Source organism: Homo sapiens, chromosome 1 (assembly GCF_000001405.40).
Source record: "Homo sapiens chromosome 1, GRCh38.p14 Primary Assembly".
NCBI classification, from domain to species: Eukaryota; Metazoa; Chordata; class Mammalia; order Primates; family Hominidae; genus Homo; species Homo sapiens.
The window spans coordinates 217,656,112-217,670,311 of NC_000001.11; the positions used below are offsets into that span (position 1 = coordinate 217,656,112).

At 35.6% G+C, this 14,200-nt stretch overlaps 1 protein-coding gene across 3 annotated transcripts in view, besides 1 other annotated feature; it reads left to right on the forward strand.

Moving 5' to 3' along the window:
* SPATA17 (spermatogenesis associated 17) overlaps window positions 1–14,200 on the forward strand; it is a 240,353-nt gene that overhangs the window by 24,768 nt on the left and 201,385 nt on the right. For all 3 annotated transcript variants that reach the window (NM_001375655.1, NM_138796.4, XM_011509194.4), the window contains exon 4: window positions 12,922–12,972. In NM_001375655.1, coding sequence (NP_001362584.1) covers window positions 12,922–12,972 — 51 coding nt within the window. The remainder of the gene's footprint in view (window positions 1–12,921; window positions 12,973–14,200) is intronic.
* Window positions 3,796–4,995: an enhancer, noted in NCBI's record as "P300/CBP strongly-dependent group 1 enhancer chr1:217833249-217834448 (GRCh37/hg19 assembly coordinates)". NCBI's record gives its function as "activates an origin of replication core promoter dependent on BRD2, BRD4, P300/CBP, MED14 and CDK7 cofactors, with strong dependence on P300/CBP, by STARR-seq in HCT116 cells {active_cell/tissue: HCT116}" and the evidence as "EXISTENCE:reporter gene assay evidence [ECO:0000049][PMID:35650434]".

Genomic DNA, 14,200 nt, shown 5'->3' on the forward strand with positions numbered 1-14,200 from the left:
GACCTCAGATGATCCACCCGCCTTGGCCTCCAAAAATGCTGGGATTACAGGCATGAGTCACTGCACCAGGCTGAGACGTCTTTTTAATCAAGCATATAGGATTTCATACATTTCAATAACTGTATTCAAAGTAGTCACCTTGGAATGTGTATTTATTTTAATGATGCTGGCGTTGCTGATTAAAAAAATACTTTTAAGAGTTCAAATAATAAGCCACCTAAGAATATTTGTTTTGTTACTTTAGCATCTCAACTGGATTTGATCAAAAATGGCATCACCCAGTATAATCACCAAATGATTCTCCAGATTTGGATCTAATTTTTTTTTGCTTATTTTGAAAACAAAATCAAAATATGAAGCTTTTCCTCGTTTAGATTGGTTCATGATGGTTTTTAAATCTGGTAAGCTCTAAGCTCCTTGGGAATAGGTCTGATATATGTATGTATGTATGTATGTATGTATGTATGTATTTATTTATTTTTGCCATTGTGTACACACTGCCTAACATAAGGCATGAAACAGAATCATAGTGGAATCTTAATAAATAATTATGAAATAAGATTAAAATAGCTCCCATTTCTTGATTGCCTAGTGAAAGTGGAACATTGCATTAAGCATTTTACATTCTTCATGTGTGCACCAACTATGGAAAGTATTACACCAACCCTATGAATATTATCACTATTTTATAGATGAAGATTCTGATGCTTAGCTTACTTCCTCAAGGACACACTGCTATTGCTGTTATTACTATTACTGTTATGTGGAGAAGAGTTCAAACTCAGTTTGACCTGATTTCAAAATCCTTATATATTGAGCTGGTAGGCAATTCAATCTCAGCCCTTATTGGGGATTTTTCTCCTTTACACGGAGTTCCTGTGGGACTTAACTAGTGCCAGTGTATCAGAGATTCCTGCCTTCATGGAGCCTTCATTCAAAAGATGTCCATTGTCTAAGATGATGTGTTTGAACCTTCCAAATTAATCCTTAGAGGACTCTATGGCTGCTGAGCCACATTAAGGGAATGGGAATTTTTACCAGAGCTGATATCCTTAGCACTTAGAGGCCCATCTTCTCCACAGCTGTCATGAAGCTTACCCCTAGAGTTTTAGCCACCTCCCAGAAGCCATAGGAATGCCAAATGCTGCATTGCTTCCTTTCAGAAGGCTAATGTTCAGTTCTTTCTTAGGCATGTGGAATCTTTGCTCCTCTCTTTTCATCCTATGCCCACACCACTTCTTTTACACCTCACACTGCTCTGCCCACCTTCCACCAACATATTGCCTCGGAGCTTAGGTTTTAGAAAAACAAAGCCAGGAATGGACAATCACATGTAAATCTTCTGAAGCAAGAGTGCATGAAATGATCTGCTGTTTTCCTGGGTTGGGCAGTGGGACATGAGTTGAGGATACTGTTTGAACCTCTGCACTGTCACACACTTAGTCCTAAATTAAGTTTGCTTAAATCATCATTTTCTTAATTTCTGCTGCATAATTTTTTTGATCTTACAGTTATATACAATAATAACAATGTCATACAGTATATGATTAAGTTATAAAATGAATGGTGTAGAACAGTCATTTTAAAACTTTAGTAATAGAACCTCCTCTAACTAAAATTTTAGCAAAATTCTTAGTCCTGTATGTAAAAGAGATATGATATAGTTTGAATGTTTGTCCCTGTATTAGTCTGTTTTCATGCTGCTGATAAAAACATACCTGAGACTGGGTCATTTATAAAGAAAAAGTTTAATGGACTCACAGTTCCACATGGTTGGAGAGGCCTCACAATCATGGCGGAAGGTGAAAGGTATGTCTTACATGGTGGCAAGCAAGAGAGAATGAGCAAAAGGAGGAAAAGCCCCCTATAAAACCATCAGATCTTGTGAGACTTGTTCCCTATCTATGAGGACAGTATGAGGAAAACTGCCCCCATGATTCAATTATCTCTGTCTGGCCCCACCCTTGACACATGGGGATTATTACAATTCAACATGAGATTTGGGTGGGGACACAGCCAAACCATATCAGTCCCCTCTAAATCTCATGTTGAAATATAACCCAGTGTTGGAGGTGGGGCCTGGTTGGAGGTGTTTGGGTCATGGGGGAGGATCCCTCATGAAAGACTTGGTCCCCTCCCCACAGTAATGAGTGAGTTCTCGTGTTAATTCATATGAGAGCTGATTGTTTAAAGGAGTCTGGCAGCTTGAACGGCTCCCTCTCTTGCCATGTGACATGCCTGCTCTCCCTTTACCTTCCACCATGAGTAAAAGCTTCCTGAGGCCTCACTAGAAGCGGAGCAGATGCTGATACCACATACAGATGAGCCAAATTGACCTCTTTTCTTTATAAATTAGTCAGTCTGGGGCCGGGTGTGGAGGCTCACACCTGTAATCCCAGGACTTTGGGAGGTCAAGGCGGGCAGATCACGAGGTCAGGAGATCAAGACCATCCTGGTTAACATGGTGATAGCCCGTCTCTACTAAGAACACAAAAAATTAGCAGGGCGTGGTGGCAGGTGCCTGTAGTCCTAGCTACTCGGGAGGCTGAGGCAGGAGAATGGCGTGAACCCGGGAGGTGGAGCTTGCAGTGAGCCAAGATCTCACCACTGCACTCCAGCCTGGGCGACAGAGCGAGACTCTATCTCAAAAAATCATAATAATAATAAATAATAATAAATAAATGAATTAGTCTGTCTCAGTATTCCCTTATAGTATGCAAAATAGACCCACATAAAATATAGGCAGTGCAACTATTTTGGAAGCTAGACAAATGCAACTGCTTCATTTCTTTCCCTGTGTTTTCTATTGTCGCCTGAGCCACGAGGGCATGATTTGAAAACCACTGATTTAATTTTCTTGACTCTGGAAGGATCTCTGGAAAGATCACACATGAAAAACCTGATGATATTACTGCCTGGGGGGAAGAGAACTGAGTAGTTGAGGGACAGGCATGGGAGAGAGACTTCAATGTCAACTCATTTGTAGTGTTTGAATTTTAAACAATGTGCATGTATTATCTATTAAATAAATTAATTTAAAAAGAAATTCAATTTAAAGGAGACTTTGCCCATCAAAACACACACACACACACACACACACACACACACACACAAATAGAAGTAATAAGTATTCAGGTGAGAAGTTAACATAGGCTCTGAAGGTCAAGGAAATGACACTTCAGCTAACCCTTGGGAAGAAAACATGAATGAAATTTTGAAATTAGGAATGAGCATAACATATACAGAAAAAATTAGATAGTTGCTCTAGATTATGCAGACAGTGGGGAATAACAGAAGGTTGGTAAGGAGTTCAGTGTGACTTTTATAAAATAATTTTATATTAATATATTTTTAAAGGAATTTTTTACTTAAAAATAGTTTTTACAATCATTGTCTCATTATGTCATGAGCAATGGTTCTGTTAAGAAGAATGTGCAGGTGGTATCTGTTTTATAGATGAAGAAATTGGTACTCAGGGAGACTAAATGATGTGCCTAGGGTTCTCAGCTCCTGATCCATATATATCTATATAGATCCACATACTAAATACTAAACATCTTCTCTGGATGTCCCTCGGGTGGCCCAAATTGGCTCGTCCTATATTTCTTTTTTTCAGGTAAATAGTACTGCAATTCAACCAGAAATCGAACCCTGAGAAACAGTCATCCTAGACTCTCTACCACCTCTTGTTCCCTATCTCACCTTCTATTGGTCATCAAATCATTTTTACTTTCCCTCTTAAAAGCCTCTTGATTCCAAACTAAACTGCATCATTTTACTGCCATGCCTGTAGTCCTCCTTCCCATAGCATACAATGTAAAGTCCTTGCTTTTTAACATGACATGTGAGGTCTTCCATGGTCTTACCATTGCTTCTTATCTAATGTCACTTCTTGCTATACCTATGTAAATATGCTTTAGTCGTATTCAACCACTTGCCATTGCCCAAATATGCAGTGTCCTTATCACCCAAAGATTTTTGGCAAATGCTGTTCCCTCTGCCTGGAATGCTTTTCTTCACTCTAACATGCCTCTCATTGGTCTTATTTCCTACGTATCCCTCAAGACTTTACTTGAAGATCAACTTTTCCTAATCTTAGTAGAAAGTAAAATTTGGGAATACTGAAAACATTAATTTTGTCTTCTTAAATGCTTGTCATGTAGGCATTTCTCTCACTGATACATTTGTTTATTTACATCTCTCTCATTTGATTGGAAGCTCCTGAGTAGCAGTGATGAGTCTAATTATATCTCAAAAATATCCCTGTGACTGACACATAAAAGGCCTACTGAAATTTTTACCAACTGGATAAATGATTCACAGGGATACAAGTTGGAAGATGTTTGCTATGACCAATGTAGATGATGATTAACATCAGTATGTGCCAGGGTGGATTGTATTCTTGTTCAAAATTAGTCATCCCATCTCCCCTTCTTCATAAAAAGGATGATTCATACTCATCCCACCGATGTGGGGCTTGTCTATGTGTTGTGAGCAGATGGGATATATGCCACACCCAAACTGAAGCTTTAAAGAGGTGTTCTCGGTCTTTTCCTCTGGCAAAAGAATGGCATACCTTAGATCCAGCTTGCTCCTTCAACCTTAGGGCTGAGACGAAGAGATATGTGGGACATAGCTACAGGGAACCTTAGCTCACATGTAGTGTGAGTAAGAAATAAACTTTTGTTGTTTTGCAACCTACTGCAATGGTTGTATTTTTATCTCAGCAAAGCTGATTGATAGTTATAATGATAACAAAAGCAAGGATGTTTATAAGAAACATTCTGAATGGGTTACTCGGTTATGCTTACAAAAAGATGTTTGGAGCTTTTGGAGTTTGTGATGATGTTAGGACACCTCCATGTGGTGGTATCTTGTAAGGCGATGGTGCAAACTCAGCAAAATCTCTGGCACATCAAAATTAGAACTCAACAAATATTTGTTAAACCAAGCTATTGAATGGGAGCTTAGATTAAAGATCAGCACTGGAGATAAAAGTTCTAGATCCATAGTTATAAGATGACAGGATTTTCTACCTAATGAAAAAAGTATGTGAACAGTACAGAATGGTGTCTAAGAATTGAGGCTTGTGGAATGCATTAGGTAGAATTTAGGAAGAGGAAAGGGAATTAAAAATAAGAATAAACAGGAAAACAGTGATGTTATATCACAGGAATTAGAGGAGAAAACTTATAGGAAACTTGGAGTTGTCAAATGTGAAGTTCAAGCAGAAAGAGGACTGTGAAAAGATAGAAGTTCTGGGATCTCTTTAGTGAGGAAAGTCAACTTTCCTCAAAATTCTCCTATACCCAAATATTTATATCCAGCTTTTAAATAATTCTCATGGTGACATCAAATAGCTTATCAAGTCCTAAAGAGTCATGTGCTCTGCATTGCAGTGACTTCATTAACCCACAATAATAGAGCTATTCCAGTCTTGTTTTGTGATTTGTTTGCCTCTTTTTTGCTTCCTGTATGACTGTTGTTTTTGTTTTTCTTTTCAACTTCCATTTTAGGCCTTTCTGCTGACTTTCATACTGCTATATCTAGCAACATAACCCAAATTTGCCTATCTTAGGGGTACAGAACTGTTGGGTCACAACTGTGAAAATTCTTTCCTATTATTGAGGATGTGCTCTGATTCTCCTTTTTATTGGTAACAAACTTATTGTCACCTGGTGCATGTGCTCAGTGCACATGCATTTTATGCATGCTGAACTCTTGGTTTAATTTTACTGTGGCCTGTTCATTTCATTATACAATCAAATAGTCCTACTATTTGGGGACCCATCTTGTTTTAGCTGTGTAGTGTTCTAGTTAGCTTTTCCTTACCCCTTCCTTACTCCATTCGTTTCATAAATGGGGAAATAAAAATAAGTCATTCTTTTAAGCAATAGTACCACAAAAATGTAGAAATATCCTTTCATTTGCTTCTTTTAAGAGCACTAACAATTTGAGAGTTCCCTGACTGCATTTATCTGTAAAAACTAAATTGGATGGCTTGTATACATTTTGTTATATTTTTAAATTTGCCTTCCTTTTTTATATTTTGTCATTACCCAATTTACATTATGTTTAATATCAGATGTGCTACTTTTGAATCACCATAGTCTGAGAGCAGAGAAGTATAAAGGCTATTGTAGTATATAATTAGTTTGATATGAGGTGTTATAAAATAATTATATATAACTGTAGTCCTAGACAGGTCAATGTTACGTTTTTAAATTGAGATCATCTAGTGAATAACATATGTATGGCAACCACATTAAAACTCAATTTAATTAAATTTTTTGTTGAAATGTATTAATAGCCTATGGTAGAACTATTTAATTTACAAAGATTGATTATGATTAAAAAGAGAAATTATTCAAATTATAAAAATAACATTATATACTGATGAAATCAAGGTTCCCAGTATTCATACATGGCTTACCATTATAACACTTCTTTCAATGTTTTCATATATGATTATTTAAAAGAGGAACAATGAAAGTTTTATTAACTTTAAATGGGAAAAATGATGACATGTACCATCAAATTCCATTGTATGTTGTTACGATAAAAGCCAACAATTTGATCTTTTCATGGTTGGCAAAAATGTATAAAATACCAGTCACTAGTTTTAAAAGTGATAAGAGATTGACATTGTTGCTTTCACAGATGTTTTTATTTCTCTTCATTAGATGAACACATGTTTATTTTTAGATGAGAAAATGCCCAATATTTTTGATATTTTTCTTTATAGGACTTCCAAATCAGTTATAAGATAATAAGGCAGCATTCTTCACCTTTTAGTGTAATACCAGAAAACTGAAACATATATATATTTTTTCCTTAGGGTCTAAACTTCAAAGACAGGACAGCTTAAGACTCTGAGTTACTAATATTAATTTAAAACTTTAACAACACATTTTTATCATAATTATAATATAAGTTTAGATTTGGTTCACCTAATCTTAAAGATAATATTACTGGTAACTGGGAGAAAGAATATAATTGGCTTTTAATTCTTTTTTATGGAAAAAATGATATTTTAAAAATGAACTGTTCAGGACAGGTGCAGTGGCTGATGCCTGTAATCCCAGCAGTTTGGGAGGCCAGCGCAGGCAGATCACCTGAGGTCAGGAGTTCGAGACCAACCTGGCCAACTTAGTGAAACCCTGTCTCTATTAAAAATACAAAAATTGGCCAGGCATAGTGGCTCGCGCTTGTAATCCCAGCCACTCGGGAGGCTGAGACGGGAGAATCGCTTGAACCTGGGAGGCAGAGGTTGCAGTGAGCCAAGATCCCGCCATTGCACTCCAGCCTGGGCAACAAGAGTGAAACTCCATCTCAAAAAAAAAAAAAAGAACAGTTGATAATGACCAAATTGTTATCAATTGCCAGCAAACAAGGCAAAGCATATGCACAAAATACTCATAATTACTTGATTAGAAATTAATTTAATGATTATACTCAAAATTATGAAATGTCGATGGCCCTAATATGGAAAATAACAAAAACTCAGGCTCATCAGATCTGTTATCCATTGTGCATGGCTTCTAAAGGTTTCATTCTCATCACTTTAATGCATATATTTCTTTTGTATTTTTCAATCTAGCAAATGATGCCAGTTGATCTCATCGTGTCATCTAGATAAATTACTCAAAATTATTATAAATACATATTACTTTAAATGTTTTGCACTTGAAATGGTTGATTATTTCATCCTTGAAGCTCATATTTTCTTGGTTTTCAACCAAAATGCTCAACAATAAAGGAAAGATTAAATAACTTATGGTATGTTCGTATAACAAAAAACACCATGCAGTTATTGTATATTGTACATGAAAATATGCGAAGAAGGATTTTAAAACTGAGGAAAAGAAGAGATCCATACTAGATTTGTTTAGAGTGGGTGAAACAGTCTTTTAATATAAATTAAGCCTCCAGGGCTTTACGGAGAAGAATTTGCAGTCTGGGCTTAAAACAGTAGGTGGAACAGTCAAAGTTGACAACGTCTGGAGCATGTTTTGAGAATATAAGGCTAAACTGAAGTGTGGGGTCATTGGGACTGGAAAAGGTGGGTAATTGTGAGATTAGGGAATTGAATGTGCTGTTGACATGAATATGAAAAGTCTTGGGATGGTGGCAGAAGTTCCAATGAAGTGTAAGACTTTAACCTAGGTGTTAAAAATCTTTTTTTTTTTTTTTTTTTTTGAGATGGAGTCTCACTCTGTTGCCCAGACTGGAGTGCAGTGGTGCAATTGCTCCCTACAACCTCTGCCTCCCAGGTTCAAGCAATTCTCCTGTCTCAGCCTCCTGAGTAGCTGGGATTACAGGTGCTCACCACCACACCTGGCTAATTTGTTTTTTGTATTTTTAGTAGAGACGGGGTTTCACCGTGTTGGCCAGGCTGGTCTCAAACTCCTGACCTCCAGTGATCTGCCCACCTCAGCCTCCCAAAATGCTGGGAATACAGGCGTAAACCACCACACCCGGCCCAAAATCTTTATACCCTATAGCGGGAGCAGGTTGGGAGGGCAACAAGGAGAGATAGAGGATAGTGTGATTCAGAAGCCTAAGGAAGGATAAGAACACCTAAAAGGAATAGACAGTAATAAAGTTGAATAACCTCAGATTAGAAATGGGTTCTTTTATTTATTTATTTAAAGAAGTTCATCCTACTGGTTTGAAATGGTTTGAAAGTACCCTTTGGAGTTAGGAGAATGCTAGCTTCTTATTCCAGTTGGTAGCACTCGTAGTAGGGAAGAAAAGGTAGTTTCTCCTATAAATAAATGCTTATAAGGAAAACAGGGGAGATAGGATTTGGACAGCTAAAAAGGAATGGTAAGACATTTCAGACAAGCAAAGTCATATGAATATGAAAGGGAGAAGAAAAAAACGTGCAGTAATTTGATCAGATTGAGGTTTAAGGGAAAGGAATAGGGAGGGATAATTGGAAAAAAAACAACTGGCACTTGATTGTGGTGAATTTTGCTTATCACTTTGACCTGTAAGAGAGTAGTTCTCATTTGTCCCCCACCCACGTTGTAATTCACTTGATAGAGAAAAAATAAACCTAAATATGGGATATACTCTCATCAGTAATCATTATCGTACTAGAGAAATAAAAAGTTAAGTGGCATGTGCCTTAGCTTGTGACTATACATCTCTCTCTCTCCTAGTGATCTGAAATACTCAAGTGTGTTAGTTACATCAATCAGCCCAATTAGGATGCCTTGCTTTAAGCAATTGGAAACTATTGAAAGTCTATGATCTTAAAAATTCAAAAAAGGAGTTGATAAAAGCAATACTTTACAAAATTAATCTAGAAGAACTGTTCCAAATGGATTAAACAGAAGATTAAGCAGGTATGAAGACTGTAGGTTGTTCAGTCATAGGAAAAGAAGACTTGACAAAGCCCAGGGATTAGTTGGAAATGATAGGTAAAAATGAAAGAATCAAGTCCTCAATATAAAATAGAAAACCAACATGGCCAGTGGTGGGACTGGGTTCTCAGAAGTTTGTCTTACAGGCAGGATAACATTCAAAATACTCAGCCATGTATACAGTTGGGTCAGTCATCACAGTTCATGGACAACAAATCAGAAAGGACGTCAGTTATAAATAATAAGTATAACCTCTGTGGTCTAATTCCATTGAATAAGAGCCCTGTCTAAAAGATCCATATGGATATCAACCAGTCAGAAAATTAATTATGTTTTCAAAAGGAATATATTCCTTCTAAAAAATTTCAGAAGCTTTCTAAAAATTGAGCTAGGTAATATGACAAAGGCCACATAGAGCTAACAAATGGCTGATAATGTTCAAATGCTATTTTTTAATCCCAGGAATTCTTCCTATCCTATCTGATGTAAATGCAAGACATCAATTCTCCCTATCTTTTCTGTTCTTTTCCCCTCCCTCTTTTTCTTCATTTATTCAACAAATATTTGGTGAACATCTAAAATTGAGCACCATGTTTCCACTACAATAAAACCATCTACTTCTTTTATACTTAATTTTCGCCCGAGATCTTTCATCTTCCCCTTTAAAGTAGACTTGATATCTTGATGATAAAGGAATAGGTAATTAATAAATAAGAATTTTGTCTGCTGAGACATTAAAATGGCTTGTCATTCTTGGATATGTTATTAACATTCCGTAGGTACAATATGCTTTCCTCACCCAATTTCATGGAATGAAAAAAACAAAACTTTTAAGTCAGAATTCTAGAAAATAATTTTTTAAGAACTAGAGCCTTTCTATGAGTTATATTTTAAGTGTTCAAGTAACCCAAAGGGTTAGTGTTAATATAACAAATAATCATCATTTTCAGAATGGAAAAACAAAGATAAAATTTTACAAAAGTTTGAAGTGTTTATATGTATCTCTTAGAAAGCTTATGGAAATGCGGTTCACATTTACATGTGTTTTTTTTTTTAGTTTTTAAAAAAATTATGGTAAAATATGTGTAGCATAAAATTTACCACTTCAATCATTTTTAACTGTATTATTCAGTAGCATTAAGTATATTCACATTGTTACATAACCATCACCACTGTTCATCTCCAGAACTTTTTCATCTTCCCAAATTGAAACTCTGTACATGTTAAATAATAACTCTCCCTTCCCTCCAGTCACTAGTAACCACTTTCTACTTTCTGTCTGTATGAATTAGACTATTCTAGTACCTCATGTAAGTGGAATAATAAAATATTTTGTTGCATATGCTTCTTTCAGTACTTTCTAAAGCATCTGGGCTAGACAATTGAGAATAAATGTGGTATCAATTAGTGGTTCACTTAAGAATGATATGTGAGAATCAAAGTGCTTTCTCACCTCTTAACTACAGGATTCAGAATTCTTTATTTCAAAATCTGAATCTTTTTTTCCTGTTAGTTCATAATAAAATTGAGCCTTTTATACTTTTTGGAATTTTACTTTTTTTTTTCTTTTTTTTTTTTTTTTTGTGACGGAGTCTCACTCTGTCACCTGGGCTGGAATGCAGTGGCTTGATCTTGGCTCACTGCAACCTCCGCCTCCCAGGTTCAAGAGATTCTCCTGCCTCAGCCTCCTGAGTAGCTGGGATTACAGTCGCCTGCCACTACGCCCAGCTACTTTTTTGTAGTTTTAGTAGAGACGGGGTTTCACCATGTTGGCCAGGCTGGTCTCGAACTCCTGACCTCGTGAGTCGCCTGCCTCGGCCTCCCAAAGTGCTGGGATTACAGGCATGAGCTACCATGCCTGGCCTAGAATTTTACTTATAGTTAAATTACATACTTTTAACTACAAAATGTGTAATGTGAGCACTACTGATAATCCCTTTCATAATGACTATTAGCTATGTCCTGAGCACCTTAGATACTTGATCTCATTTTAGTCTTCACGACAACTCAATGAAGCATATAATGACCAGTTTTCTAAGAATGGAAATCAAGACTGAGAGACTTTCAGTAAGTTGTTCACGGCCACACAGCTGTTAAAAGCAAAGCCAGGAATTGAACACAGGTCTGTGACTCAAAAGCTCACACATTCACTCTACTGTTAACTAAACAATGATATGATAAAGACAAGAAACATCTTTTTCTGAACCCAAACTCTTGGAAATATATAATATCCAACGTATTTCTTCTTTATAGAAATGTTTAATAGCAATGTCTGCTTCAATATGATGTCAAGAAGTACACTATTAAAGTAAATATTTTAAATCACCTCAAACACCAATTACGCCTTGCTTACAATCACGAAGAAAGAGAATTTAAAATGAAGAAATGTTGTTGTGTTCATTTGTAAATAACATATTGCAGCCAACTGTTTCTTAATTGCTCAGACTGTTGATAAATAATCCAGCCCTGCTGCTCTCCACAGACAATTTGCTTTGGATCAGACCAGGCAATTCAAACAACACTAATTACAGTGAAACCCTTTTATATGAATTTCTGTTTGTCATGGGGCAGAAAGCCCCTTTATAAAGAGTTAAGGCACTTTTTTCTGATTTTTGCCTGAAACATAACAATTATTACCTGGGCTCAAGTTATAGTGAATAAATTTTGGTTGAATAAAAATGGATAAAGTTGTATACCATGTTAAAAATATGTATCTCATTGCTTTTATTGTTTATTGTACTGTCATGAATTATATTAATTTTATATTTTTAATTAAAAGAGCAGATGGGGAAGCTTAATTTAAAGAATATTTTCATTGAAATAAGCTACATTGTTGAATGACTTACTGTAACAGAAATTTGTATATTAATATGTAGATGTGTCTTTACTAGAGAGAAACCAACACTTCAGGAAGTCTTCACTATATCAAGGGATTTGCTGTAACATGATATCATTGTATTTATGATTTTATGGTGTTAAAATGAATATTAAATGAAACAAAATTCCCAAGGATTACTCAGGAGGCAGCTAAGTACATAACATTTTGCATAGATGGTTGGAAGGCACAATTTTGCTCCATCACTGCATCCATATCCTTGAACGATTTCAACTGAAGACAGCATTTCTTTGAATTTTTCATTAAACCAGACGTCTTGAAATATGAATTCCTTTTATGTTTCTGTGAGGTTTGGCTAAAAGAACCCCAGTGAATAAATCATACAATACTACATGTCACCAGCACTTGTGAATATTTCTGCTTTGTTATTCTATTCTCAGTAGAGCACCATTGATTATCAAACTCAGCAGAGAGCATTTTATGATCATATATCTCCATTAGCTCCTAGTTTGACTACCATAGATTTTTACTGGTTAAGCTTGCATTATGTATTAGGAAGCCTATCTCTTCAATACAACATTTGATTTCATTTTTCTAAGGCTAGAACTCTTATTATGTATTATGTATAAAGATTCTTATCTTTTATATGTAAAAATAGGCTGCACTGTCTTTGTGTAACTGAAATGCATGCCATCTTTTTTTCTTGATTCACAGGTAGCATATTATACTATGATGATGAATCTCTACAATGCAATGGCTGTCAGGGTAAATATTTCTTCACTTGTTAAACAAATGAAAAGTCAATTGTGCCCTGAATTCGCTTTTAATAAAATGAGCAAAGCAGAATAATGCAAATTTGATTGATATGCTAATGGTAAAGAGAGAAAGAGTATGTAGTTAAAAAGTTAGTTATGCTAAATAATCTTGGCAGTATTAAAAATTAGAGTAAAATGTAAAACATGTAATTATAAATGCTTATGTTTTAGAATGTTGAATATCTCTGAGCCATAACTAGAGAAAGACTTAAATATTAATGAAGCAATGTATTAGTTTCCATATATCATATAGAATACATTGTGATAAATAGATGAACATGGTTGTGAAATATAAGATTCCTGCCCAATACAAATCAATTAGAAATTATTCATATGATTTAACAGTAATGAAGTCAGTTTCCAGCTTTGAAGTTTTATTTCTATCAGTTCTGTGTTCATTTTTAATGTGTTATTTTCCTAATAGAAAACTGAATTTAGCAATTATGGAGCTTGAACTCGGTTTCTGCACTGATCTTGGGAATGGACATAACAAAAATATTATTTCTTTTGTTTCAGACAATATGATAATAATTTAATTGCTAAGCTATTATAAATGGAGAAATTTCTTAAGTGAATTTCATTATTGTCCTTAAAATCTATGTTGCCTTATATTCTTTTTCATTAATCTGTTAGTTCTTCTGCAAATAATGGATTTTATTTTGAGTGAGGCAAGGTAGTAAAATCCTTTCTGAAAGTGCTGGGGTGAACCATAGTGGCTAAGTTAACATTATTTTGACTATGTGTTTTGCTTTAGAAAGAGGCTCTTTCCTTTTCAGGTGAGCGTGCTGGTAGTCTAGCCAGCTCACTCTAGTATTTCTTCATCCTCCTCTCTGCTTGTTCTCCTGGAGTTTGAGGAAAAATATAAAAGGAAGAAGTAGATCTTCCTGCTGCTTTTCTTGAGCCAGAGGCAGAAAATCTAGCTGCAATAGGCTATTTGCCTTTCTCAGTAATATTCATATAGGAAAACAATTCAATTTTTCTCTTTTAAAGGGAATACTTTCGTCTGGGAATTTCAGAGGTTTTGTACAGCTTTGCTATAAACTTAACCTCTGAGACTAAAACACCATTGATTCTTTTCTTCTTACTTCATGTCAGATGTATCTCCAAAATAAAAAGTCATAGATGACTGAGAACCTAAAGCAGTTAATGCCCATTTAGCTATTTCCACTGATCACCAG